The 27,107-nt window shown below is 53.5% G+C and overlaps 1 protein-coding gene across 2 annotated transcripts in view, besides 14 other annotated features; it reads right to left on the bottom strand.

Moving 5' to 3' along the window:
- PKN1 (protein kinase N1) overlaps positions 1–24,083 on the bottom strand; it is a 38,554-nt gene extending 14,471 nt beyond the window's left edge. Inside the window, exons 1-7 of one of the 2 annotated variants that reach the window (NM_002741.5) lie at positions 23,847–24,083; positions 15,946–16,246; positions 13,768–13,919; positions 10,828–10,963; positions 6,926–7,071; positions 6,280–6,493; positions 5,366–5,560 (exon numbers count right to left, since the gene is read on the bottom strand). In NM_002741.5, coding sequence (NP_002732.3) covers positions 5,366–5,560; positions 6,280–6,493; positions 6,926–7,071; positions 10,828–10,963; positions 13,768–13,919; positions 15,946–16,246; positions 23,847–23,867 — 1,165 coding nt within the window. In that variant the 5' untranslated portion in view covers positions 23,868–24,083. Of the gene's footprint in view, positions 1–5,365; positions 5,561–6,279; positions 6,494–6,925; positions 7,072–10,827; positions 10,964–13,767; positions 13,920–15,945; positions 16,247–17,059; positions 17,113–23,846 lie in introns of those variants that run through there. The other variant, NM_213560.3, reaches the window with a different exon arrangement.
- Positions 6,618–6,912: an enhancer, noted in NCBI's record as "tiled region #3261; K562 Activating DNase unmatched - State 8:EnhW, and HepG2 Activating DNase matched - State 9:DNaseU". NCBI's record gives its function as "activates a minimal TATA promoter and a strong SV40 promoter by Sharpr-MPRA in K562 cells, with weaker activation in HepG2 cells {active_cell/tissue: HepG2 | K562}" and the evidence as "EXISTENCE:reporter gene assay evidence [ECO:0000049][PMID:27701403]".
- Positions 6,618–6,914: a biological region, named in NCBI's record as "Sharpr-MPRA regulatory region 3261".
- Positions 6,785–6,914: a silencer, noted in NCBI's record as "silent region_10252". NCBI's record gives its function as "represses an Ori minimal core promoter by ATAC-STARR-seq in GM12878 lymphoblastoid cells {active_cell/tissue: GM12878}" and the evidence as "EXISTENCE:reporter gene assay evidence [ECO:0000049][PMID:35858748]".
- Positions 12,672–13,172: an enhancer, noted in NCBI's record as "H3K4me1 hESC enhancer chr19:14555029-14555529 (GRCh37/hg19 assembly coordinates)". NCBI's record gives its function as "activates a minimal SCP1, AML or CMV promoter by ChIP-STARR-seq in naive H9 embryonic stem cells {active_cell/tissue: H9 hESC(naive)}" and the evidence as "EXISTENCE:reporter gene assay evidence [ECO:0000049][PMID:30033119]".
- Positions 17,152–17,271: an enhancer, noted in NCBI's record as "active region_14171". NCBI's record gives its function as "activates an Ori minimal core promoter by ATAC-STARR-seq in GM12878 lymphoblastoid cells {active_cell/tissue: GM12878}" and the evidence as "EXISTENCE:reporter gene assay evidence [ECO:0000049][PMID:35858748]".
- Positions 17,372–17,431: an enhancer, noted in NCBI's record as "active region_14170". NCBI's record gives its function as "activates an Ori minimal core promoter by ATAC-STARR-seq in GM12878 lymphoblastoid cells {active_cell/tissue: GM12878}" and the evidence as "EXISTENCE:reporter gene assay evidence [ECO:0000049][PMID:35858748]".
- Positions 21,998–22,292: an enhancer, noted in NCBI's record as "tiled region #2073; K562 Activating DNase unmatched - State 1:Tss". NCBI's record gives its function as "activates a minimal TATA promoter and a strong SV40 promoter by Sharpr-MPRA in K562 cells {active_cell/tissue: K562}" and the evidence as "EXISTENCE:reporter gene assay evidence [ECO:0000049][PMID:27701403]".
- Positions 23,043–23,615: an enhancer, noted in NCBI's record as "H3K27ac-H3K4me1 hESC enhancer chr19:14544586-14545158 (GRCh37/hg19 assembly coordinates)". NCBI's record gives its function as "activates a minimal SCP1, AML or CMV promoter by ChIP-STARR-seq in naive H9 embryonic stem cells {active_cell/tissue: H9 hESC(naive)}" and the evidence as "EXISTENCE:reporter gene assay evidence [ECO:0000049][PMID:30033119]".
- Positions 23,354–23,463: a silencer, noted in NCBI's record as "silent region_10251". NCBI's record gives its function as "represses an Ori minimal core promoter by ATAC-STARR-seq in GM12878 lymphoblastoid cells {active_cell/tissue: GM12878}" and the evidence as "EXISTENCE:reporter gene assay evidence [ECO:0000049][PMID:35858748]".
- Positions 23,616–24,189: an enhancer, noted in NCBI's record as "H3K27ac-H3K4me1 hESC enhancer chr19:14544012-14544585 (GRCh37/hg19 assembly coordinates)". NCBI's record gives its function as "activates a minimal SCP1, AML or CMV promoter by ChIP-STARR-seq in naive H9 embryonic stem cells {active_cell/tissue: H9 hESC(naive)}" and the evidence as "EXISTENCE:reporter gene assay evidence [ECO:0000049][PMID:30033119]".
- Positions 23,616–24,333: a biological region, named in NCBI's record as "H3K27ac-H3K4me1 hESC enhancer GRCh37_chr19:14544012-14544585".
- Positions 23,754–23,823: a silencer, noted in NCBI's record as "silent region_10250". NCBI's record gives its function as "represses an Ori minimal core promoter by ATAC-STARR-seq in GM12878 lymphoblastoid cells {active_cell/tissue: GM12878}" and the evidence as "EXISTENCE:reporter gene assay evidence [ECO:0000049][PMID:35858748]".
- Positions 23,994–24,333: a silencer, noted in NCBI's record as "silent region_10249". NCBI's record gives its function as "represses an Ori minimal core promoter by ATAC-STARR-seq in GM12878 lymphoblastoid cells {active_cell/tissue: GM12878}" and the evidence as "EXISTENCE:reporter gene assay evidence [ECO:0000049][PMID:35858748]".
- Positions 25,064–25,343: an enhancer, noted in NCBI's record as "active region_14169". NCBI's record gives its function as "activates an Ori minimal core promoter by ATAC-STARR-seq in GM12878 lymphoblastoid cells {active_cell/tissue: GM12878}" and the evidence as "EXISTENCE:reporter gene assay evidence [ECO:0000049][PMID:35858748]".

Genomic DNA, 27,107 nt, shown 5'->3' with positions numbered 1-27,107 from the left:
AAAAAAAAAAAAGAAAAAAAAAAAAGAAAAAGAAAGAAAATCCTGGCAGAAAGGGGCATGTCTATTATCTTTTTCTTTTTTTTTTTTTTTTTCAGTAGAGATGAGTCTTGTTATGTTGCCCAGGCTGGTCTCAAACTCCTGGCCTCAAGTGATATTCTCCTGCCTCAGCCTCCCAAGTATCTGGGATTACAGGCATGAGCCACCAGGCCTAGCTGTCTGCTATCTTTTTAAAATGAATCCTCCCCTCCATAACTTTTCTCCCACTGTAAAGTTTTGCATTTGACATTGAAGCCTTTAATCCAGTTGATTTTTTTACATGGTGTGATGTGAGGCAGGGATCCAAATTCAATTTTATTCTACATGGAAGTCCCAGCCACATACTCCTAAGGATTTATTTATTCATTTATTTTTTGAGCCAGAGTCTCTCTCTGTCACCCAGGATGGAGTGCAGTGGCACAATCTCGGCTCACTGCAACTTCCACCTTCTGGGTTCAAACAATTCTCGTGCCTCAGCTTCCAAAGTAGCTCAGACTACAGGCGCACACCACCATGCCCAGCTAATTTTTGTGTTTTTAGTAGAGATGGGGTTTTGCCACGTTGGCCAGGATGGTCTTGAACTCCTGACCTCAAGTGATCACTGGTCTTGGCTTCTCAAAGTGCTGGGATTACAGGCGTGAGCCACCGCGCCCAGGCACTCCTGAGGATTTACCCTAGCCAAATGCATGTGGGTATACATCAGGAGATGCATTTATATAAAGTGTATGTAACAGTCCAAAATAGAGGCATCCCACAGTCCATTAACAGGAGAATTAATATTTTAAAACTGCTATACCATCTTAGTAGCTGAAGTACGAAATTGCTGATATTTAACTATTTTTTTGCTTTCAGAAAGAGGCAATTCGATATGGCTCAGTCTAACATAATGGATTACTAAACAGGAATAAATATGAATTAACTATAGCTTGTCACAACAAAATGGATGAGTCTACCAAAACAATGCTTTTTTTAGTTTGGTTTTGTTTTTTGCATTTTTTTGTAGGGTGGGGTTTCACCATGTTGCCCAGGCTGGGTTCAAATTCCTTGGCTCAAGCAATCCCTCCACCTCGGCCTCTCAAAGTGCTGGGATTACAGGCATGAGCCACTATGCCTAGCCCCTAAACAATGTTGAATGAAAGAAGCCATGTGATAGAATAGTCTGTATGAGCCTGTCAATATAAAGTTCTAATACCAGGCAAAATTAAACAAAAGTTTTTGGGGATGCAAACATGGGGTTCTACAACTACAAATTATAGCAAGGAAATGATAAAAGTCGGGAGAGTAGCCACCTCTATGGCAGAGGAAGGAGATGGAATTGTGGAGGAGACAAGAGGGGGCTTCTGGAGAGCTGGAAATATTCTATTTCTTTTCCTTTTTTTTTTTTTTTAAGATGGGGTCTCGCTCAGTTGCCCAGGCTGGAATGCAGTGGTGCAATCACAGCTCACTGTAGCCTTGACCTCCTGCGCTCAAGCAATCCTCCCACTTCAGCCTCCCAAGTAGCTGGGACCGCAGGCACAAGCCACCATGCCCACGCCTGGTTAATTTTTGGTTGGCTTGTCTTCTCTTTTTTTCCCTTTAGTTTTTTTTTCTGTGACACAGATTCAGGAGGGCCTGATGACATGTACCCCCAATTTTTTTTTTTTTTGAGACAGAGTCTTGCTCTGTCACCCAGGCTGGAGTGCAGTGGCGCGATCTCGGCTCACTGCAAGCTCTGCCTCCCAGGTTCATGCCACTCTCCTGCCTCAGCCTCCCGAGTAGCTGGGACTACAGGCGCCCACCACCACGCCTGGCTAATTGTTTGTATTTTTAGTAGAGTTGGGGTTTCACTGTGTTAGCCAGGATGGTCTCGATCTCCTGACCTTGTGATCCACCCGCTTCGGCCTCCCAAAGTGCTGGGATTACAGGCGTGAGCCACCACACCTGGCCATATGCCCCAATTTTTAAATTATTTGTAAAGACAAGGTCTTGCTATGTTGCCCAGGCTGGTCTTGAACTCCTGGGTTCAAGTGATCCTCCTACAAATACCAAAATGCTGGGATTCCAGGCATGAGCCGTGGCACCTGGCTGCCATATTCTATTTCCTAACGCAGGTGGTGGTAATATGGGTGTCTGCTCTCCTGTTACTCTTCTCCACACTCCCTTTTTTTTTTGTACATACGTATTAATTTTCTTTCTTTTTCCTTTTTTGCCATGAGATTACGAATCAAATTTTCTTTTAAAAAAATTATGGCCAACATGGTGAAACCCCATCTCCATAAAAATACAAAAATTAGCCGGGTGTGGTGGCGCACGCCTGTAATCCCACCAGCTATTTGGGTTGGCTGAGGCAAGAGAATCGCTCAAACCGAGGAGGCAGAGGTTGCAGTGAGCTGAGACGGTGCCACTGCACTCCAGCCTGGGCAGCAGAGGAGAATCTGTCTCAAGAAAAAAAAAATTATGGTAAAATACATGTAACATAAAATTTACCATCATAATCACTTTAAAGTGTCCATCCAGTTCAGTGGCATTAAGTACATTCACATTGCTGTGCAACCATTACCACCATCCATCTCCAGAACTTTCACCTTACAAAACTGAAACTCTGTCCACATTAAATAATAAACTCCCCATTCCCCCTCCCTCTACTCCCTGGCATCCATCATTCTACTTTCTGTCTCTATGAATCTAACTACTCTAGGAACCTCATATAACTGGAATCATACAATATTTGTCTTTTGGGGACTGGCTTATTTCACTTAGACTAATGTCCTCAAGATTCATCCGTGTTGCAGGATAAGACAGGATTCCTTTCCTTTTTTTTTTTTTTTTTTTTGAGACAGTGTTTCACTCTGTCACCCAGGCAGGAGTGCGGTGGCATGATCTTGGCTGACTGCAACGCCTGCCTCCTGGGCTCAAGCGGTTTTCCTACCTCAGCCTCCTGAGTAGCTGGGATTACAGGCATGTGCCACCACACCCGGCTAATTTTTGTATTTTTAATAGAGATGGGGTTTCACCATGTTGGCCAGGCTGGTCTCGAACCCCTGACCTCAAGTGATCCACCTGCCTCGGCCTCCCAAAGTGCTGGGATTACAGGCATGAGCCACTGCGCCTGGCAGGATTTCTTTCCTTTTTAAATCTGAGCAATGTTCCATTGCATGGCTGGCCCACGTTTTGTTTACCCATTCATCTATTGGTGGATCTGGGTTGCTTCCATTTTTGGCTTTCATAATGCTGCTATGAACACAGGTATACATATCTCTGAGACCCTTTTTTTTTTTTTTAAATATTTTTCTATCACTATTTTTAAAACTGACAAATAAAAATTATATATATTTATCATGCACAACATGTTGTTTTGAAATATGTATGCATTATGGAATGTCCGAGGCCCTGTTTTTAATTCTTTTGGGGATATGCCCAGAAGTAGCTTTGGATCATATGGTTACTCTTGTTTTTTTGTTTGTTTGTTTGTTTTGAGATGGAGTCTCATTCTGTCACCCAGGCTGGAGTGCAGTAGCATGATCTCTGCTCACTCCAACCTCTGCCTCCCGGATTCAAGCAATTCTCCTGCCTCAGCCTCCAGAGTAGCTGGGACTACAGGCGTGCACCACCACCAAGCCCGGTTAACTTTTGTATTTTTAGTAGAAATGGGGTTTCACCATGATGGCCAGGCTGGTCTTGAACTTCTGACCTCAGGTGATCCACCTACCTTGACCTCCCAAAGTGGTGGAATTACAGGTGTGAGCCATTGCGCCTGGACTGCTTACTCTGTTTTTACTTGTTTCAGGAACTGCCAATATTCCTTCCTCCCTCCCTCCCTCCCTCTCTCTCTCTTTCTTTCAGACAGAGTCTCGCTCTGTTGCCCAGGCTGGAGTGCAGTGGCTCGATCTAAGCTCACTGCAACTTCTGCCTCCTGGGTTCAAGCGATTCTCCTGCCTCAGCCTTCTGAGTAGCTGGGATTACAGACACACACCACCATGCCCAGCTAATTTTTGTATTTTTAGTAGAGACGGGGTTTTGCCATGATAGCCAGGCTGGTCTCGAACTCCTGACCTCAGGTGATCTGGCCCCCTCAGCCTCCCAAAGTGCTGGGATTACAGGTGTGAGCCACTGCACCCGGCCATGCCAATATATTTTCCATAGGGCTGCACCATTTTACATTCCCACCAACAGTGCACAAAGGTTCTGATTTCTCTCCACATCCTCACCAACACTTATTTTCTGTTTGTTTTGTTGGGTTTTTAAAATAGTATTAGTCATCCTAATGAATATGATATATTGGTTTCTTGTTTGGTTTTCCTTTCTTTTTAAATTTGTTTTATTTATTTATTATTATTATTATTATTTTGAGATGGAGTCTTGCTCTGTTGCACAGGCTGGAGTACGGTGGCACAATCGCGGCTCACTGCAACCTCCGCCTCCTGGGTTCAAGCAATTCTCTGCCTCAGCCTCCCGAGTAGCTGGGATTACAGGCACGCGCCGCCACGCCTGGCTAATTTTTTTGTATTTTTTGTAGAGATGGGGTTTCACCATGCTGGCCAGGCTGGTCTTGAACTCCTGACCTCGTGATCCACCCGCCTCGGCCTCCCCAAGTGCTGGGATTACAGGCGTGAGCCACCACGCCCAGCCTTTTTTTTAATCTAAATAAACTTGAAGTTTTTTTTCTTTTTTTTTAATTTAGAGACAGGGTCTCTCTGTCATCTAGGCTAGAGTGAAATGGCTCAATGATAGCTCACTGGGCTCAAGTGATCCTCCCACCTCTAGAACAGCTAGGACTACAGGTGTGGGCCACCACATCTGGCTAATTTTTACATTTTATTTTTTGTAGAGACAGGGTCTTGCTATGTTGCCCAGGCTGGTCTCAAACTCCTGGCCTCAAGTGATCCTCCTGTCTCAGCCTCCCAAAGTGCTGGGATTACAGGCATGAGCTGCTGCACCTGGCCTGTTTTTTTGTTTTTGTTGTTGTTTTCGTTCTCTTTTGAGGCAAAGTCTCACTCTGTCACCCAGGCTGGAGGGCAATGGCGTGATCATGGCTCACTGCAATTTCCACCTCCCGGGTTCAAGTAATTCTCCTGCCTAAGCCTCCCAAACAGCTGGGATTACAGGTGTGCACCACCATGCCCAGCTAAGTTGTATTTTTAAGTAGAGACAGTGTTTCACCATGTTGGCCAGGCTGGTCTCAAATTCCTGACCTCAAGTGATCCGTCCACCTTGGCTTCCCAAAGTGCTGGGATTACATGTGTGAGCCACCACACCCGACCCCTGGCTTATTTTTTAAAGGTTTACAAATATGGGGCATTCCAGGTCCCCAATGCCACCTCGTTTCTCAGGGCCCACGATGCCCACTCACTGGTGTTCTCGGCTTCTGCTTTGAGGCTGCTCCGGCCACTGAGGCTTCCGCTTCGGCTGTAAAGGCCCCGGGCTGGGCGGCTCAGGAAGGGGGGGCGGCTGTCTGGGGTCCCAGGTCCCCCCATTGAGGGGGTAGGGTTCCACGGGATGGTCTCTGGGAGGTCTCTGCAGCCCACCACTCGTACCTCCAGGGTCCCTGCAGGAGGGGAAAGCTCAGCAGGGGGCCACTTCTGGGGCAGGCTGAGCGGAGGGGACCACAGCGGGGAGGGGACACATCCAGACGCAGCCATGGTACAAGTGGGAGCCAGTGAGGGACAACCAGAATGGAGCATGGGGCATGAGGCCGGGATGTCCGTGCTGGGATAGGAGAATATGAGAGAAGCAGTCCTTCCAGGAGGGGCTCAGATGCGGGAGTTTAGGGGCAGAAGAGAGGCTCAGGGTACAGGCCGTAGGCTCAGGGTACAGGCCGTAGGCCCAGGCAAGCAGGAACAGGGTAGGACTAGGGGTTCTAGGGGAGGACTCGGTGGACAATCTGAGGTCTAAGATGGGCTAGGGGTCTACGGTGGGGCTGGTCTGGAGGGGTAGATGGCTGAGGGGTCTGTGGAAGGTGGGGCTGGCTGGTCTGCAGCAGGCGGGTAGGAGGCTCATGGCTGAGCGTTGTGAGGCCGAGGTGGGGCTGGGGAACAAGGGCTGGGAGAAAAATACTGGGCCAGGTGAAGAGAGATGGAGAAACTGAGGTGTGGGGGGGGTGGGCAAGAGCCCAGAATCAGAGGGCAAAGGAGGGGAGGAGACAGTGGTGGAATGGGAGTCCAGGGTTGGGGAGAGCGGAGATTGAAGTCGGGGGTCACAGGAATGGGGAAATGAGAGGAGTCGGAGGCCCAGGGCTGCAGGGGTGGGGTAGGGTCTCAGACCCACCTGTGAGCGGCGCGGGCTTGCACAGGGTGCTGTAGTGCGTGGCGGGAAAGGGCCCGGCCAGGCGGGTGCTGAAGGCAGCGGAGGAGGCCGCAGCGAGCTCTTCTCGCAGCAGCCGCCCCTTGGGGTGGTCGGCGGGCAGCTCCCCAAGTCTCCGCTCCAGAGCCTCCCGCAGCAGCCCCAGCTTCTGGTTGGATTCTGTTAATTTCTCCTGGGCCTGTGGTGGGAAGTGTGGGGGCTGGGGGCGGGACCAGGCTTGCCCCTTCCCAAGTGCAGGCCTAGGCCCCACCCCCAGGCTGAGTCTCACACTGAGCTCCTCCCTAGAGGGCTAAACCTCAAACCAACTTGGTCCCACCTCTGGGAAAACCAGGCCCCGCCCCTTGGAGAGGCCCCTCCCCTCACCGAGGGCCATTCCTGCCTGAAACCATGCCCCCTCGCTGAGGCCCCGCCCCTCACAGTTGCACTGTTCCTGCCTGATGCCCTGCCCCTCACAGTAGTCTACCCTGGCTGAGGCCCCACCCCTTATGAAGGTCCCACCCCCTTTGAGGCTCCACCCCTCACCGTGGGTGTTCCTGGTGAACTCCCCGCCGCTTGCTGAAGCACCGCCCCTTGCTGAAGCCCCGCCTCTAATGAAAGCTCCGCCCCTCACCTCGCTGACTGCCTTGCGGTCCGGGGCCTTGGCAGCGCTGAGCAGGCGCAGTACGTTCTTGGCACCCTCGGCCACCGCGTGCTCCACTCGGAAGTGGTGCCGCAGCTCTTCGATGCGCAGCTCCACAGCCCCCAGGTCAGGACTCCCTGTGAGCGTGGAATACAGGGCAGTGAGGCTAGCCTGCAGCGCCCCACCAACCTAGTCGCAGACACAGCCATTCGCAGGAACAGGCACGGGCCACAGACAAACCATCATGAAGATGCATCACGCTTCATCCAAGGGGCAGGCACAGTGACACTGTCGCACTGTCACCTGCAGGCAGCCACACTTCCACCCAGACTCTTTTATCCAAACACCATCACTCACAGGGCCAGTCCTAGGGAAAAAGTTACCCTGTTACAGGGGACAGTCTGAGCAATGACACACAGGCACACTGTCACCCCACGCTTACCGACACACACATTGTCACGGTCCCTCTTCACCTCCAGTGATTTGCACAGGGACAGACGCAGGCACATTGTGGCCCCCAGGGACAGCCACATTATCTAGATTCAGACACTGTCACCCAGGGGCTGTCACCCAAACAGACAGGAACATCTAAATCATAGGCCAAGCATGGCGGCTCAGGCCTGTAATCTCAGCACTTTCGGAGGCCAAGGCGGGTGGATTACCTGAGGTCAGGAGTTTGAGACCAGCCTGACCAACATGGTGAAACCCTCTCTACTAAAAATACAAAAATTAGCTGGGCACAGTGACGCATGCCTGTAATCCCAGCTACTGAGGAGGCTGAGGCAGGAGAATCACTTGAACCCCGGAGGCGGTGGTTGCAGTAAGCCAAGATTGCGCCATTGCTCTCCAGCCTGGGTGACAGAGTGAGACTCTAAGTCATTAAAAAAAAATAATAATACTGTCATACCCGTGTTGACACACCTCATTCCCCAATGAACAGTCACCAGGTTACACAGTCAACCAGGCATGGTGACACTCATGGACATCTGGACAACCACAGCATACTACATTTACACAGACGGTGTCAGTCACAAAGACACTGTTAAGAGACTCAATGTTTGTCTCCTACCAAATTCCTATGTTGAACCCCTAATCCCCAGTGGGATGGCACTTGGACTTCTCCAAGTGCCTTTGGGAGGTAATTAGGGTTAGAGGAGGTCATGGAGGGAGGGCCATCATGATGCGATTAGCGCGCTTATTGGAGGAGGAAGAAGCTGGGTGCAGTGGTCCACGCCTGTAATCCCAGCACTTTAGGAGGCTGAGGCAGGAGGATCACCTGAGGCCAGGAGTTTGAGACCAGCCTGGGCACCATAGAGAGACCTTGTCTCTACTAAAAATAAAAAATAAATTAGCGAGGCATGGTGGCGTGTGCCTGTAGTCCCAGCTATTAGAAGGCTGAACGAGGAGGATCACTTGAGCCCAGAAAGTCGAGGCTGCAGTGAGCTGTGATCACGCCACTGCACTCCAGCCTGGGTGACAGACCAAGACCCTGTCTCAAAAAACTAATAATGAAAAATAAGAAGAGGAAGAGACACTAAGGCTCTTTCTCCCTGTGAGGGAGCAGTAAGAAGGAAGCCATCTGTAAGCCAGGAAGAGCGCCCTCACCAGGAACCGACCATGCTGGTACCCTGATCTGGGACTGCCAGTCTCTGGAACTGTGAAAAACATAAATGTCTGTTGTTTAAGCCACTCAGCCTATGGGACTTTGTTATGGCGGCCCAAGGAGAGTAAGGCAGGCACTGTCGCACTGACACTGTCACACTGTCGCCCACAGGGACACATGGCATTACCACTTTGTCACCAGCGTAGGCACACTATCACCAGAGGAACACATACTCTGTCACAAAGATGTAGTCACCCTGCCACATAGAGACACTGTCATGAGTCAGACTCTGTTACACAGACACGGCCCTGTCATCTTGGGCACAGGGACACCATTATAGGGGCAGAGAAACACAGTCACAGACACAAATGCATTTATGCCCAAGCACAGGGTCAAGAAAAGGGGCACAGGCCAGGCATAGTGGCTCACGCCTATAATCTCAACACTTTGGGAGGGTAAGGCAGGAGGATCACTTGAGGTCAGGAGTTTGAGACCAGCCTGGGCAAGACCTAGTCTCTACAAAAAAAAAATTTCTTTTAATAAGCTGGGTGTGGTGGCACACGCCTATGGTCCCAGCTACTCAGCAGGATTGCTTGAGCCCAGAAGGTCAAGCCTGCAGTGAGTTATGATCGCGCCATTGCATTCCAGCCTGGGCAACAGAGCAAGACCCTGTCTAAACAAAAAAAGTGTGTCAGCCAGGCACGGTGGCTCATGCCTGTAATCCCAGCACTTTGGGAGGCCAAGGCAGGCGGATCACGAGGTCAGGAGATCGAGACCATCCTGGCTAACATGGTGAAACCCCGTCTCTACTAAAAATACAAAAAATTGGTAGGGCGTGGTGGCTCAAGTCTGTAATCCCAGCGCTTCAGGAGGCCAAGGCAGGCGGATCATGAGATCAGGAGATCGAGACCATCCTGGCTAACATGGTGAAACCCCGTCTCTACTAAAAATACAAAAAAATTAGCCAGGCGTGGTGGCAGGTGCCCGTAGTCCCAGCTACTTGGGAGGCTGAGGCAGGAGAATGGCATGAACCCAGGAGGCGGAGCTTTCAGTGAGCCGAGATCACACCACTGCACTCCAGCCTGGGCGACAGAGCAGGACTCCGTCTCAAAAAAAAATACAAAATTTAGCCGGGTGTGGTGGTGGGCGCCTATAGTCCCAGCTACTCAGGAGGCTGAGGCAGGAGAATGGCGTGAACCCGGGAGGCAGAGGTTGCAGTGAGCAGAGATTGTGCCACTGCATTCCAGCCTGGGCAACAGAGCGAGACTCCATCTAAAAAAAAAAACAAAAAAAAAAAGTGTGTCCCTGCAGTGTGTGTCAGTGCGACGGTGCACGTGATTGTGTGCCTGTACTGTGGATATCCACATGGACTTCACAGTGACTATGTGTGATGGTAGGATCACACATTCCTTTGTCTCTGGGTGTTGTCGCAAGGATGGGTGACTGGATGACTTTATTCCTAAAAGTCCCAGTGACTGATAAAGCGCCATGTGGCAGCAGGTCTAGGGGTGACAGTGAGACTGTGTGTTTTTTTGTGTGTGTTTTTTTGAGACAGAGTCTCACTCTGTTGCCCAGGCTGGAGTGCAGTGGGGCGACCTTGGGTTACTGCAACCTCCGCCTCCCGGATTCAAGTGATTCTCCTGCCTCAGCCTCCTGAGTAGCTGGGACTACAGCTGCGTGCCACCACGCCCAGCTGATTTTTGCATTTTTAGTAGAGACAGGGTTTCATCATGTTGGCCAGGCTGATCTCGAAATCCTGACCTCGAATGATCCGCCCGCCTCGGTTTCCAAAGTGCTGGGATTACAGGCGTCAGCCACTGCACCCAGCCGAGACTGTGTTTATAAGGCAACATACCTGTGACTATCAACTTCCTTGGAACTGTGTCTGTGTTATTGGTGTCCAGGTGAGTGACACATGTGGACACAGTGTGACTGTGAGTGTCTGACTCTCTGTGACCAAGTGCCAGGGTCATTATTCAGAATAGTCAGGCAGTCAAAAACATAGTAAATGAATGGGCGTGGCTGGGTACCAATAAAACTTTATTGACAAAAAAAAGACAATGGATAGATTTGGTCTGAAGGTGGTAATTTACCAACCCCTGATGTAATCCAAACTTTGCATGGGACAAAATGGGAAGCTCTGGCCCAGAGAGGGTCAGGAATGTGTTGAAGTCTCACAGTGGGTCACAGGACCCACCTCCCTGCCCCAGAAAGGGACTCATTATGGAGCTGGAGGCTGAGCCCTGCAAGGCGAGATGCAGGCTAAGCTGCCTGGAAGCAAGGGACTCACCTTGGGTGTCATCCGGGGCTGCCTGGTTCTCCAGCTGGCCGGCCTGCAGCGCCCGGCGGAGTTGCATGCGGATGATGTCAATCTTGGTCTTACTGTCCTGCAACATCTGCTGGGCTGTCAGCAGCAGCTTCCGGTCCTGGAGGCAGAGACAGTCTGAGAGAGGAAGGCTAGGTGGTTGGGGTCTAGCCACACCATGCAGGTCCTAGGTGACTGTGGCAGAGTGTTCACATGTGGATGTAACAACATGCATTTGCAGGCCAGGCACGGTGGCTCATGCCTGTAATCCCCGCACTTTGGGAGGCTGAGGCGGGTGGACTGCTGAGCTCAGGAGTTAAAGACCAGCCTGGGCAACATGGCAAGACCTTGTCTCCACAAAAAAATGCAAAAATTAGCTGGGCGTGGTGGTGTGCACCTGTGGTCCTAGCTACTCAGGGGGCTGAGGTGGGAAGATCACTCAAGCCCAGGAGTTGGAGGCTGCATTGAACTGAGATTGCATCACTGCCCTCCAGCCTGGGAAACAGAGCAAGACCCTGTCTCAAAATAAATAAATAAGTAAATAAATGTACTTCCATGCATTCCTGGATACAGTGGCATGATGTAGTCCATGGAGTCCTCAGCCTCCTGAGTAGCTGGGATTACAGGCGCCCACCACCATGCCCAGCTTTTTTTTTTTTTTTTTTGAGACATAATCTCGCTCTGTCACCCAGGCTGGAGTGCAGTGGTGTGATCTCAGCTCACTGCAACCTCTGCCTCCCAGGTTCAAGCGATTCTCCTGCCTCAGCCTCCCGAGTAGCTGGGATTACAGGCATGTGCCACCACGCCCGGCTAATTTTTGTATTTTTTTAGTAGAGCTCGGGTTTCACCATGTTGGCCATGCTGGTCTTGAACTCCTGACTTCAAGTGATCCGCCTGCCTCAGCCTCCCAAAGTGCTGGGATCCGCGCCTGGCCTACTCTATTCATTTTCACTGGGTCAGTATTACCCCCAGGGCGGGGGGCAGAAATTCTTAGGGGGTGAGAAACTCTTATTCTTTTTTTGTATAACGCTCAGATACATGTAAAAGATATACAATTGATCTAGGTTTTAAATTTTCATAGAATGGTGTTCAAATACTTGTACACAGGTGTTCATAGCAAAACTACTCACAATCGCTAAAAAGGTGGAAACAACCAAATGTCCACCAATTGATAAATGGGGCGCAGTGGCTCACATCCGTAATCCCAGCACTTTGGGAGGCCAAGGCAGGAGGAATGCTTGAGCCCAGGAGTTCGAGTCCAGCCTGGGCAACACAGACCCCTGTCTCAATAAAAATAAAAATAAATTAAATAAATAAAATAATGTTAGGCCAGGCAAGGTGGCTCACATCTGTAATCCCAGCACTTTGGGAGGCCAAGGTGGGCAGATCACCTGAGGTCAGGAGTTCGAGACTCGCCTGGCCAATATGGTGAAACTCCATCTCTACTAAAAATACAAAAATTAGCGGGACGTGGTGGCATGCGCCTGTAATCCCAGGTACTTGGGATGCTGAGGCACGAGAATCGCTTGAACCCAGGAGGCGGAGGTTGTAGTGAGCCGAGATCACGCCACTGCACTCCATCCTGGGCGACAGAGTGAGACTCTGTCTCAAAAAATAAATAAAATAGTGTCATTAAAAAAATCCATGCAGTCTGTCCTCCCATGTGACATTCACGTGGAAGGACATGCGCACACCAGCCTGTGGGTCTGGACATTAATCCTCTAGCTGTAGGTTGGCCTGTGCTTGTGGTGTCAGAATTTCTGGGTGTTGATAGAGACCTGTGTGTTCCTGGGACTGATTGGCAGGACGGGGGATGTGTGTGTGTCTGTGCACCAGTCTCTGGGTATGAATGTAAGAGTGTGTGTGTGTGTCCAGATGTGGCTGTGGTGGGATTCTCCATGTGTTGCTAGATGTTGTTACCACTGTGTGTCTCTAGATGTTATGACAGCATGTGTGTGTGTGTGTCTAGATGTTATGATGGTGTGTGTGTGTCAAGGTATGACATGACTGTGTGTGCTTGTAACAGGACACACCGTCAGCAGTGAGAGGCGGCATGTTGCCCTGACTGTGGATGGGCCTGAGGCTCTGCAGGGGACTGTGGGAGGAGGGGAGACAATTTGCCACGTCTGTCTGACATCACCCATAGTCATGCTTCCCATATGCCCCCATGAGCTGCCTGTGCCTTAGTCCTGACACCAAGTTACACCCATCAGCCAGTATGTCCCCAATCCAAAGGCTCCCAGCCTCCCATGGGGGCAGCTGTAGGCTGCACCCTATGCCCCCAGCCTGTGATCTGCTCACAGGCATGTGCATACATGTGCGGTGTGTGTGCAGATACACGGGTGGGTGTGTACGTGTGGGTGTGTACATGTGCATGTGCATTGCAAATGTGTATGCAGGTGCAGGTGCACAGGCAGGTGTGTGTGCATGTGCAGGTGTGTGTGCACATGGGGGGTGTATGTACACATGCTGGTATACACACATGTGGGTGTGTGCAAGTATGCATGCACGTGCAGCTGTGTGTGCACGTTCAAGGGTGTGTACACATGCAGGTGTGTGCACGTGTGGTGGGTGTATGCATATGTGTGTACACATTTGCAGGGGTGTGTACACATGTGGGTGAGCGTGTATGCACGCAGGTAGGTGTGTGCATGTACAGATGTGGGAGTACATGCCAGTGAGTGTGTGCACATACAGGTGTGGGTGCACACTTGAGTGGGTGTGTGTACACGTGGACAGGTGTGTACACATGCGGATGGGTGTGCACGTGTGGGGTGTGCATGCGCAGGTGTGGGTGCACATTTGAGTGGGCGTGTGCACACAGGGACACATGTGTACACATGCAGGTAGGTGTGCACATGTGGGTGGACTGTACGCACACAGGTGTGGTGTGTGTACACAGTGTGTGTGCACGTGCTGCCTCACCTTGGTGCTGCCATTGCTGTAGGTCTGGATCATGTTCTCCGCCCCCTGCTTCACCTTCAGCTCAATGGCCAACTGCTTCTCCAGGCCCGCCACGCGGCTCAGGTTGGTGGCCGAGCAGGTGGGGCCACCCGCACCAGGGGACTGGGGGCCATCTGGAGGCGACAGGTGGGAGAGAGTCACCACGCATCCTCACCTCGGCCTGCCTGGGAGGCTTCATCCTCAGCCCAGCCTGGGCATTGCCCCTGGGGCATGGAGGAGGGGGAGCTGGGGGCCAGCAGACAGGCAGGCAGGGGGACACCAGGGCCCAGCAGTCTACCCACCCACCCTCCCAGGGAAACCCCTCGGGGCTGGGGCAGAACCCAGGATGAATGAGTGCAGGCGAGCACCCAGGTGTGTTAGTGTGTCCTTGGTGCTGGGTCCACTGCATTTGAGAGGCCCATGAGTAACTACGTACATGGCTTGTGTGAGCCTATGGGTGTGGGAGTGGTGCCATCTGTGAGCTGCAGGGTGTTGGCATGGCTGAGTGTGTGTTTCCCTAGGTGTTAGTGTAACTCTGTGAGACGCCATGTGTTAGAATGACTGTCTGAGATTGTGGGTGTTGGGAGATGCTCTGCGTACATCTCTGACTGTTGCTACAACTGTGAGTTCAGATCTCCAGGTTGGTATGACTGAGTCTCCGGGTGTTGGCACATCCGGATGCATGTGTCTGCATGAGTCTCTGGAGAGTGGTGTGATGCTTGAGGGGACCCTGGGTGCAGAAATGACTGAGGCCGGGCGCAGTGGCTCACACCTATAATCCCAGCACTTTGGGAGGCCGAGGCAGGCGGATTGCTTGAAGTCAGGAGTTAAATACCACCCTGGCCAACATGGCAAAATCCCGTCTCTACTAAAAATGCAAAAATTAGCCAGGCGTGGTGGCTCATGCCTATAATCCCAGCTACTTGGGAGGCTGGAGCAGGAAAATCACTTGAACCTGGGAGGTGGAGGTTGCAGTGAGCCGAGATCGTGCTATTGCACTTCAGCCTGGGTGACAAGAGCAAAACTCTGTCCTTCCCCACCAAAAAAAATTCAAGCTGCTGAGTGAGGTGGCTCACACCTGTAATCCCAGCATTCTGGGAGGCACATCACCTGAGGTGGGTGGATCAGTTGAGGTCAGGAGTTTGAGACCAGCCTGGCCAACATGGTGAAATCCCATCTCTACTAAAAATACAAACATTAGCCGGGCGTGGTGGTGCAAGCCTATAGTCCCAGCTACTCAGGAGGCTGAGGCAGGAGAATCACTTGAACCTGGGAGGTGGAGGTTGCAGTGAGCTGAGATTGCACCACTGCTCTCCAGCCTGGGTGATGGAGCAAGACTCCATCTCAAAAAGAAAAAAAATGTTAAAACCAATAAAAATGTTTTAAATTAAAAAACAGGCTGGGTGCAATGGCTCACGCCTGTATTCCCAGCATTTGGGAGGCCAAAGCAGGAGGATCACTTGAAGCCAGGAGTTCTAGCCAAGCCCTGGCGGCATACCAAGACCCTTTCTCTACAAAAAAAAAAAAAAAAAAAAAAATTAAATTAGCCAGGCATGGTGGTGTATGCCTTTAGTCCCAGCTACTTGGAAGGCTGAGGTGGGAGGATTGTTTGAGCCCAGGAAATTGAGGCTATAGTGAGCTTTGATCACACCACTGTACTCCAGCCTGGGTGACAAGGCAAGATCCTGTCTCCAAACAAAAACAAAAATAAACAGTCTTTGGTTATCATCCATGTAACTGTGGGAGTTTCTGGGTATTCGTGTGACAGTGTGCACATCCTTGAGTGTTGCCTGGGGTGTTGGCGTGGCTGTGTCTGGAGGTATTCGTGTGACAGTATGTGCACCCTTGGGTGTTGCCTGGGTGTTGGTGTGGCTGTTTTTTTAGGTGTTTGTGTGACTGCATGCACATCCTTGAATGTTGCCTGGGTGTTGGCGTGGCTGTGTCTAGAGGTATTCATGTGACAGCATGCACGGTCTTGAGTGTTACCGGGTGCTGGTGTGGCTGTATGCACCTCTCTGGGTGTTGGTGGCTACGGGGGTCATGGCATGCATCTCCCTGGGGGTCCGTGGAGATGGGTTAACCTGGCTCTGGAGACCATGGGTGAGCCAGTGAGCAGTGGAATCCCTGGAGTCCCGCATCCCCAGAGGCATCCCAGCTCACCGTGGGTGGCCGCCGGGTCGGGAAGCACCACGTGGGCGTGCAGCTCCTGCAGCTGCTGGTGCAGCAGGTCGAGGCGGCGCGAGGAGCCCCGCAGCAGCAGCTCTACGGGGCCCAGGCTGCGGCCCAGGTCAGTGGTGGCCCGCCGCAGGTTCTCAGCACCCTCCTTCAGCTTCAGCTCCTTGCGGATTTCCCGCCGCAGCCGCTCCCGCTCCAGCTCCAGCTGCTGCTGTACCCCGGGGGCCGCCAGGTCTGCCCCGGCCAGGCCCAGCTGCTCTAGCAGGGACCAGCTGCGAGGCTCACTCTGCGGAGGACAGAACAGGGTCAGTGGAGCTAGGAGAACTCCAGGTGCAGACCACATGCAGCCAGCCTGGCCCAGCCTCTGCCCTGGACTGGGGCTCCCAAGACAGGGCCTGCTCTACCTCCTCTGACTCCCAAAACTGGAAGGTGACGAGGCCTTGCCACTGCTTCCTGACCTCCCCAAACTGGGAGGTCTCAAGAGCAGGGCCTTGTCACCCCCACCACCACAGCGTCCCCCACATTAAGGGGGTCTCAAGAATAAGATCTGTCTCCCTTCTGCTGCCTCCCCCAAACTAGAGGGTCCCAAGGGAAGATTCCTTCTTTTCTCTGCTGCTCCCCGAAACTAAGAGGGCCCAAGGGCAGGCCCTGTCTTCTCTCTGCTGTACCCCTAAAACTACAGGGTCCTGAGGACAGGCCCCATCTTCCCTCACTTGTACCCTGAAACTATGGCATCCCGAGGGCAGGCCTCATCTTTCCTTGGCTACACCCCCAAAACTAGGGTATCCCAAGGGCAGGCCAAGTCTTCTCTCTGCTGTACCCCCAAACTATGGGGTCTTGAAGACCCTCATCTGCTCTTCTCCTATGTTCAACAACTGGGACCCTAAAGAACAGAGCCCGGTCTCCTTCCTTCTGTCTCTCCCCAATCTGGGAGCCCCGAAGGGCACTGGATACTCTCATCCTCCAGAGAGAGAACTCTGAGGCCAGTGCCCCATCTCCTCTCCTTGTTCCCAAACTGAGAAGTACCCGGGGAAGGACTACTGGCCTGTGCCACTTGGGGCCCCCTTCTGCCTGCCCCCACAGGGACCCTGGACCCCACCTCCAGCTCCTGCTCCGAGGGGTTATTGGCCTCCGCCATCCTGGGTCCGGGCTGAGGGCCCCGCCCTCTTCCTGAACCTCAGCCCCACCAGGGCCTCTCGGCTGCCACTTCCTCTTTCCTGTCAACTCCCAGCACCCCTCGCGCGGGGCCAACTCCAGGGCATCTAAGGGACCTCCTGTTCCTCTAGATGAAACCCAGGGACAGTCCTTGCTCCCTGTCCCTAGAGAATGTCCAAGGTGCAGGCAGTTTGTACATTCACACACTCATGGTGTATCCATGAGGGGACGCAGGCTCCGAGGGCTGACTTGAGTGTGCACTAACTTTCAAATACATATGTGGATATGCACAGAACACAGGCTCACAAATGTTTGCACGCTTTCTTTTTCTTTCCTTTTTTTTTTTTTTTTTTTTTTTTTGAGACAGAGTCTCCCTTTGTGTTGCCCAGGCTGGAGTGCACTGGTGTGATCTTGGCTCACTGCAACCTCCGCCTCCCAGGTTCAAGCAATTCTCTTGCCTCAGCCTCCCAAGTAGCTGGGATTACAGGCATGTGCCGCCACGCCCAGCTAATTTTTGTATTTTTAGTAGAGACAGGGTTTCACCATGTTGGCCAGGCTGGTCTCGAACTCCTGACCTCAGGTGATCCGCCCCCCTCAGCCTCCCAAAGTGCTGGGATTACTGGACGTGAGCTACCGCGCCTGGCCTGTGTTTGCACAGTTATGGCTGCAGGTGTGTGCCTGCAACACAGGCTCACATGTGTGCACACTCCCATGCCTGTGTGTGTGGATGAAACAAAGATCCACACACAGGTGCACACTTCTACACCTGCAGGTGTGTGCCTGGAAAATGGGCTCACAGTGTACCCATTCCCATGCCTACCACATATGCACTTATTTGCAAACACATACAAGTGCTTATGAGCTTCCCTCTAGAACCCATACAAGACACACTCCCACCTGCCCGAGAGGGCATGGCCCACATGCTCATGCGTGTGCACATGCTCACACACATATGCACGCTCCCCGAGGCCCCTGCAGCACATCCATGCTCCCACAGACCTCCAGCCCTGCGACTACCTGCATATGTCCCTCCAGACTCTCCCAGCCACCCCTTGTCCCCGGCTTCCCCTTCAGGGTCAGAACAGCCACTTCTTCAGAGGTGAGGCCCCTTTCCTGCAGACGGGCCCTCCCAACTTCCTGCTTCCTCTCAGTCCAGTCGCCAACTGTTATTGACCATAGCTGAGAGGCCCGGGGTCCCAGCCAGCCCAGTGGCACCTCCCTCAGGCCAACACAATTAGGGGACAGCACTGGGGGACTGGGATAAGAATTTCCAAAACCAGGCCGGGCACGGTGCCTCACGCCTATAATCCCAGCATTTTGGGAGGCCGAGGTGGGTGGATCACCTGAGGTCGGGAGGTCGAGACCAGCCTGACCAACATGGAGAAACCCCGTCTCTACTGAAAAAAAAAAAAAAATACAAAATTAGTCGGGTTTGGTGGTGCATGCCTATAATCCCAGCTACTTGGGAGGCTGAAGCAGAATCACTTGAACCCAGGAGGCAGAGGTCGAGGTGAGCCAAGATCGTGCCATTGCACGCCAGAGCGAAACTCCGTCTCAAAAAAAAAAAGAATTTCCAATTTCCAAAATCACGCCGGGCGTGGTGGCTCACATCTGTAATCCCAGCACTTTGGGAGGATGAGCGAGGCAGATCACGTGAGGTCAGGAGTTCAAGACCAGCCTGGCCAACATGATGAAACCCCGTCTCTACTAAAAATATGAAAATTAGCCAGGCATGGTGGCACGTGCTTGTAATCCCAGCTGCTTGGGAGGCTAAGCATGAGAATCGCTTGAACCCAGGAGGTGGAGATTGCAGTGAGTCGAGATCACACCACTGCACTCCAGCCTGGGCGACAGAGTGAGACTCTATCTCAAAAAAAAAAAAAAAAAAAAAGAATGCCCCAAATCAGCAGCCTACAAAACCACTTGCTAAGCACACAGTAACATTCAAGAACAACTTATGATGGCATTACTTCCTGATAAGCTCATCATAAGTTGCAAATATCATAAGTCAAAAATGCATTTAATATATCTTACCTACCAAACATCATAGCTCACCCTGGCCTACCTTAAATGTGCTCAGAACACTTACCCAAGCCTATAGTTGGGCAAAAACGTCTAACACAAAGCTATTTTACAGTAAAGTTGAATATCTCATGTAACTTTTTTTCTTTTTTTTGAGACAGGGTCTTACTCTGTTGCCCAGGCTGGAGTGCAGTGGTGTGATCATGGCTCCCTGCAGTGTCTACCTCCTGGGCTCAAACAGTCCTCCCAGCTCAGCCTCCCGAGCAGCTGGGACTACAGGCATACGCCACCACACCTGGCTAATTTTTGTATTTTTCATAGACATGGGGTCTCACTATGTTGCCCAGGCTGATCTCGAACTCTTGGCCTCAAGTAATCCTCCTGCCTCGGCCTCCAAAAGTGCTGGGATTACAGGTGTGAGTCACTGCCCCGTGGCCAGGGCCTTGATTTAAAACAAGAGCACCCAGATTCCAAATGCTGGCTAGGAAATGGCCCCCTGGGGTTATCTCCTTCAGCTGGGAGCATCCATTTCACAGACAAGGAATGTTATCCTTGGCTCGTGACTGATCTCAAGCGCAGCTGCCCCCAGGGAGGAATGCCACAGACCAAGTGTATCACTCCCACCATCTTCCCAACCCTCACTACAAATCTTGAGCAGCTGCCAAGAACTCCCCACTTCACAGGTGAGGAAACTGAGGCTCAAGGAAGTCACAGTAGTATGTTTTGTTCGTTGGTTTGAGACAGAGTCTTGCTCTTTCGCCTAGGCTGGAGTGCAGTGGTGCAATCTCGGCTCACTGCAATCTCCACCTTCCGGGTTCAAGCAATTCCCCTGCCTCAGCCTCCTGAGTAGTTGGGACTACAGGCACGTGCCACTGCGCCTAGCTAATGTTTTGTATTTTTAGTAGAGACGGGGTTTCACATGTTGGCCAGGCTGGTCTCAAACTCCTGACTTCAAGCAATCAGCCAGCCTCGGCCTCCCAAAGTTCTGGGATTACAAGTGTGAGGCACTGTGCCTGGCCAGTAACAGTTTTCCATTGAGGGGAGATTTTCTCCCCATACCCGGGGACATGCGGCAACATCCGGAGACATTTTTGGTTGTCCTGACTGTGGGTAAGGAGGTGACTTCTATCAGGGTGAGGCCAGGGATGCCACTCAACGCCCTGCAGTGCACAGGACAGCCTCTACTGCAAAGAATGACCCAGCCCTGAATGTCAGTAGTGCTAAGGCTGAGAAGCCTACGGTTAAGGGTCATAGATTTGGCCAGGTGTGGTGGTTCACGTCTGTAATCCCAGCGCTTTGGGAGGCTGAGGCAGGAGCAGTGCTTGAGGTCAGGAATTGGAGATAAGTCTGGGCAACACAGCAAGACCTACAAAAATCTCTACAAAAAATAAAAAAGTATTGGCCAGGTGTGGTGGCTCTCTCTGCCTGTGATCCTAGCACTTTAGGAGGCCAAGGCCGGAGGACTGCTTGAGCTCAGGAGTTCGAGACCAGCCTGGGCAATAACGGTGAGACCCCATCTCTACAAAAAATGTAAGAATTAGCCAGGTGTGATGGCATGTGCCTGCAGTCTCAACTACTTGGGAGCCTGAGGTGGGAAGCTGGCTTGAGCCCAGGAGGCAGAGGTTCCAGTGAGCCGAGATCACACCATCACACTCCAGCCTGGCCAACAGAGCCAGGCTTTGTCTCAAAAAAGAAAAAAAGAGGCCAGGCGCGGTGGCTCATGCCTATAATCCCACCACTTTGGGAGGCCGAGGCAGGCAGATCACGAGGTCAGGAGATCTAGACCATCCTGGCTAACAAGGTGAAACCCTGTCTCTACTAAAAACACAAAAAAATCAGCCGGGCATGGTGGCGGGCGTTTGTAGTCCCAGCTACTTGGGAGGCTGAGGCAGGAGAATGGCGTGAACCCAGGAGGCAGAATTTGCAGTAAGCCGAGATCAAGCCACTGCACTCTAGCCTAGGCGACAGAGCGAGACTCCATCACAAAAAAAAAAGGAAAAGAAAAAAAGAAAGGCTGGGGGCAGTGGCTCACACCTGTAATCCCAGCACTTTGGGAGGCCTAGGCGGGCAGGTTACTTTGAGCTCAAGATTTCAAGACCAGCCTGGGCAACATGGCGAAACCCTGACTCTACTAAAAATACAAAAATTAGCCAGGCGTGGTGGTGTGCACCTGTAGTCCCAGCTACTCAGGAGGCTGGGGTGGGAGAACGGCTTGAGTCTAGGAGGCAGAGATCATGCCGCTGCACTCCAGCCTGGGTGACAGAGTGAGACCCCAGTCTCAATTTAAAAAAATAAAGAAAAAAAAATTAGCCAGGTGTGGTGGTGCATGCCTGTAGTCCTGTAGATCAGGTGTTTGAGGCTGCAGTGAACAAGAATCTCGTCACTGCATTCCAGCCTGGGTAACAGAGCGAGACCCTGTCTCTACAAAAGTAAAAGGAAATTAGCCAGGCATGTTGGTCTGTGCCTTTTGTCCCAGCTACTTGGGAGGCTGAGGCAGGAAGATCACTTGAGCCCCGGAAATTGGAAATCGAGGCTGCGGTGACATAGGATCGCACCACTGTACTCCAGCCTGGGTGACAGAGCAAGACTCTCTCCTCTAAAATAAATAAATATAAATCAGTAAATCAATCAATAAGGACACAGATTCACACCCTGAGCTGCTGACCAGGACGCTTACCAGTAACGACTTCACAGCAGCCCTGCCTGCCAAGTGCTGGCAAGGTCTCGGTCTCTCTCTCTCCCATGAACACCCTCTTAGTCCCATTTTTCCTAGGTCAGAACCGAGGCTCAGAGAGGCGAAGGCACTGGGCCCAGGACACACAGCGAGGAAGTGTCAGCGCTGGAATTTAAGCCCAGGCTCACCAAATACCACCCTCGCTCAGAAGGCCCCACCCCATCCCCAGCAGGCAGAGGGAGGACACAGCCAAGAGCGGGGCCAGCTCAACTGGGGAAGTCCAGGCAGAGAGGAGAGGTGGCCTCCCTCAGCCCCACCTCCAGCAGCTGAGGTCTGTAATGCACAGAGGGAGGGAGGCTGGGCTCCTGGGTTCTCCTCCCCTGAGTGACTCACTTCTACCCAAGGCACAGGGGTCACCTGAGGGCCAGCAAGGCAAACCCAGGACTCAGGGCCCTGGCCTGGCCTGTCCTATGGAGAACCCCTGCTCCTCCGCTGCCCACCATGGAGCGGAGACCTCAGACCCAGAGGACCTGCCTCCCATAATCCCCATCTTGCCAGAGCAGCCAGGGACCTAGACTCCCACATCCGGAGATTTCAATGCCTTGGGCGTTTCCGGAATCTGGACAGGACATCCGTTTGCAGGACACAGAACAGACAGGCACACGTTGGGACAGACAGAGGGACAGGGCAGCAGGCCCAAGCAACCATGAGAGAGGGATGACCAGGAGCGGGGAAGAGACTGGGGAGGAGATGGGAAGGGGGGACCAGGGCGTGGGTCCAGCCTCGTTGCAGGAATCACAGCCTGTCTGGGTCATGTGTGGGATGCGCCAAGCGCATGCATGCACCCGGGGATTCCTACACAGCCCTCCCTGGGCCGGGGGTAGAGGCAGGGACCCCGGCCCATCCCGGCCTTGAGGTCTGACCTTGTGTGATCGGCAACACCAGATACGCCCAGCTCCTCGGCAAGGCCGGCAGGCCATCAGCAGGACTGGGAAGGCGGGAGGGACCGGGGGTTACCGGGGAGACACAAAGGGGCCGGGGGCAGGTGCAGAAGGAGACGAGAACCCAGTTACACAACAACCACAGGACAATGAACTGGATGGTGAGGTGCTAATGGGGACACTGAGGCACAGACATTTCTCAGATTTGGGTCACTTGAACCAAAGAAGGTTGGCAGTCACCCTGGCCGTGCTTGTCACAGACGGGGAAGATGAGTCCAGGTCAGTGATCCCCACCAGGTGGCACAAGGGGAATCTGGCTGGGCGGGAGGCTGGTGCCAGTCACGTGTGTGTGTTAGCAGGGTGGGGGTGACCCAGCCATGCCCAGCCACCATGCAAAAAAGTAGGATTCTATATATGGGAGCATCCCTGGCCTGTTGACTGAGACACTCCCCACCCAGGAGAAGGTTCCACCTGACAGCCCAAGGGTGGGAGTGGGGGTCCCCATTCCCCCGACCTAATGCAGTGACTCGGGTACTTCCGCCAACAGGTGCCAATCTGGGTGGCGTCTGGAACATCATAAAGCTGTCTAGAGGCGGGGGTGGCTGGAGCTTTGTTATGCGGGGGAAGGGCACGGGCCGGGCCCAGCAGCCTCCTCCCCTCCCAGGGCACTGCGCCAGGCACGTGCCCCAGGTGGAGCGGCACCTGCCGGGTACCCAACCCTGGGGAGGGGGATGAGTTTGGGGGCGGACGAGAGGCACTGGGACGCCCAGCCAGCCACAGACACCCGAAGTAGAGCCTCCGCCGCGCCCCTTCTAGTTCTCCAGGAGAGGCCGAGTTTGAGGGTGTAGCAGGGGTTGCCTCCGGGATCGCCCCCAAACCAGCCCAGTCCACATCGCCACCTGCCGAGAAGGGGGCCTCGCTGGCTCCACAGTCCCGGCCCAGGGAGGGGGCGCCGGGCGCTCCGGAGGCCCCCGCCCTTGCCATCGTCACCCGAGTCCCGTTCCGGGGGCTGGGGGGGCTCCCCCGGCAGCGCGCGGGCGGGGTCCGCCGGCGCCGTCCGGTCGCCCCGGGACTCCAGACGCAGGTGCGCCTACCTGCACGGCGTCGCTGGCCATGTCCTCCTGCCGCCCGCCAGGGGTCCCCGCGCGGAGGGAGGGGCGGCCAGAGGAGCGCGCGTGCGCCCCGGGCGTGGCGGGGAGGGGGCGGGCGCGGCGCGACCCTCCCCGGCGCGCGGCCCGCTCCGGCCTGCTCGGCTCCCGCCTCGCCTGGCCAGGCCGCCGCGTCCCCGCGCCGCGCCCTCCGGCCCCAGCGGCCGCCGGGCCTGGTCACGTGACCCCGGAGGTCGGCGCCCGGGGAGGGGGCGGGGCCGAGGGGGGACGGGTTCCCAGAGGCCCCCGGGGCTGCGGGGTCCCGCCCGTCCGCCCCCTCGGTCTCCCGAGCCCGGAGCATCCCCATCGGCTCCCCACCTTTCCTCTTTCCGGGTCCCGAGACGACCGCACGCTGCCGAGGGGTCCCCCATTGGAGCGCGCGGGAACCCGAGGAGAACGGTTCCACGCGTTCAAGCCGAGAGCGGCGGAGGCCTTTGGGCCTCCCGGGACCCCTGAAAAAAACAAACAGAATAACCCCCCACCCCACCCTACCCCGGTGCATTTGCAAGCTCGGGACGCCTGCATCTGTGGTCCCCTATTCAAGGGCATGGAAGTTTCCCCGTTACCTGGAGACAAGCTCTGGGCGGATCTGCATTCAAATCCTAGCGCTTTACGCCTTGAGGGAGACAAACCCTTCCAGGCACCTCATCTGTGAAATGGGAATGATGCGCTCACCTCCTCGGTGTTGGTAAAATTCAATAAGACAGTGCAGGCCAAGAGCTGAGAACACACTAGACGCTCCATAAGTGTTAGCTGCTGTCACTTTTAATGTTATCGTAATTGTTTGTTTGTTGTTTTGCTATTTTTGGACGGAGTTTCGCTCTGTTGCCCATGCTGGAGTGCAGTGGCGCGATCTCGGCTCACTGCAACCTCCGCCTCCCGGATTCAAGTGATTCTTCTGCCTCAGCCTCCTGAGTAGCTGGGATTACAGGTGCCCACCACCATACCCGGCTAATTTTTGTATTTTTAGTAGAGACGGGGTTTCATCATATTGGCCAGGCTGGCCTCGAACTCCTGATCTCAGGTGATCCGCCCGCCTCGGTCTCCTAAAGTGCTGAGATTACACAGGCCTGAGCCACCGCGCCCAGCCTCTATTATCGTTATTGTTATTAAAAGAGGTTTGAATCCCAACTTGCTGTTCATCCTGGGGACCCCTGTGGCCTCTGAGTCTCAGTTTTCCCCGCTATAAAATGGGCATCGCCTTCTTTTTCGGGGCTGCTGCATGCAGATGGCGCTCCATAAATGCAGACTCGTGCCCAAGCGGAGAGTGGAGGCCTCTGCGGAATTTCTAGGGGATCTCCGGGGTCTGCAGAGCGTGCAGCTTTGTTCGTGGCCGCCGTCGGACCCTCACTCCTTCGGAAACCAGGCGAGGGAGCCAAACCTTGGTCTCCGGGGCTCCGGCAGGGAGCGCTCCCTGGCGGCGGTGCCTGCACATTGGCGCCCTTTGGGACCCGAGGAAGCGCCGTGGGCTGCGGGTACCTTGGTTACCCGTGGCTCTGCGTGGTTTCAGTCGTCCCAGAAACCAGGGCGCGATGTTTTCTCTCTTATTTTTTCCTCTGAGCAACTCTTTGGGAGATACTAACAACAGAAAGAGAGAAGGAGGAGAATTATGCTGATCCAGAACCCATCCAGCCGGGCATGGTGGCGCACGCCTGTAGTCCCAGCTACCAGGAGGCTGAGGCGGGAGGATCGCTTGAGCTCAAGAGGCCGAGAATGCATCACTGTGGGGAGAAATCATGATGCCCCTGCACTCCAGCCTGGGTGACAGAGCGAGACCCTGTCTAAAAAAAGAAAGAAAAAAAAAAACGGCTGGGTGCAGTGGCTCACCCCTGTAATCCCAGCCCTTTAGGAAGCCAAGGTGGGTGGTGGATGGATCACTGGAGGTCAGGAGTTCGAGACCAGCCTAGCCAATATGGTGAAACCCATCTCTGCTAAAAAATATAAAATTAGCTGAACGTGGTGGCGCATGCCTGTAATCCCAGCTACTCGGGTGGCTGAGGCAGGAGAATAGCTTGAACCCAAGAGGCGGAGATTGCAGTGAGCCGAGATCGTGCCATTGCACTCCAGCCTGAGCGACAGAGCAAGATTCCATCTAAAAAAAGAAAAAAGAGGGGGCCAGGTGTGGTGGCTCACGCCTGTAATCCCAGCACTTTGGGAAGCAGAGGCAGGCGGATCACGAGGTCAGGAGATTGAGACCATCCTGGCTAACATGGTGAAAGCGGCGGGCGCCTGTAGTCCCAGCTACTAGGGAGGCTGAGGCAGGAGAATGGCATGAACCCAGGAGGCGGAGCTTGCAGTGTGCCGAGATCGCGCCACTGCACTCCAGCCTGGGCGACAGAGCGAGACTCCCTCTCAAAAAAAAAAAAAAAAAGAGAAAGAAAACAACAACAACACACACACAAGCCCAGAATTCACCCACATTTCACCTTTCCACTTTGTCGCATCCAGTCCCTACCATCACTCACCTTAACCAGTAGTCACCTCTCTCCTGGTCTCCTGGTTTTGCCCTCGCCCCCACAGTCTGTTCCCACAACAGCCCAAGGGAGCAGTGAACACATGAGATGGGGTATGCCCCTCCTCTGTCTAGAACCCTCCATGGCTCCCAGCTCACTCAGGGAAAAAACTCAGGTCCTCCCCACAGCCCACGAAGCTCTGCACCATCAGTTCTTACTTCCTCCCATCTCTCCCCCTTGCTCACTCCTTCCAGCCACATGAGCCTTCTAACTGTTTCTCAAATGCTTGTTGATTGAATAAAAGAAAGAACTCTGTGGCTGGGCGCAGTGGCTCCCACCTGTAATCCCAGCAATTTAGGAGGTCAAGGGGGGTGAATCACTTGAGGCCAGGAATTCGAGACCAGCCTGGCCAACATGGTGAAACCCCATCTCTACTAAAAATTAAAAAATTAGCCAGGTGTGCTGGCGGGCATCTGTATATTCAGCTACTTGAGAGACTGAGGCAGGAGAATGGTTTGAACCTGGGAGGCGGAGGTTGCAGTGAGCCAAGATCGCACCCCTGCACACCCCCCTGGGTGATAGAGCAAGACTGTCAGAAAGAAAGAAAGAGAGAGAGAGAGAGAGAGAGAGAGAGAGAGGAAGGAAGGGAGGGAGGGGAAGGGAGAAAAAGAAAAGAGAAAAGAAAAGAACTCATGGCCAGGCATGGTGGCTCACGCCTGTCACCCCAGCACTTTGGGAGGCCCAGACGAGCAGA

The sequence above is a fragment of the Homo sapiens genome, chromosome 19, assembly GCF_000001405.40.
Source record: "Homo sapiens chromosome 19, GRCh38.p14 Primary Assembly".
Taxonomy (NCBI): Eukaryota; Metazoa; Chordata; class Mammalia; order Primates; family Hominidae; genus Homo; species Homo sapiens.
The sequence above is the reverse complement of the archived record's forward strand: the minus strand, read 5'-3'. Positions and strand labels throughout refer to the sequence as shown.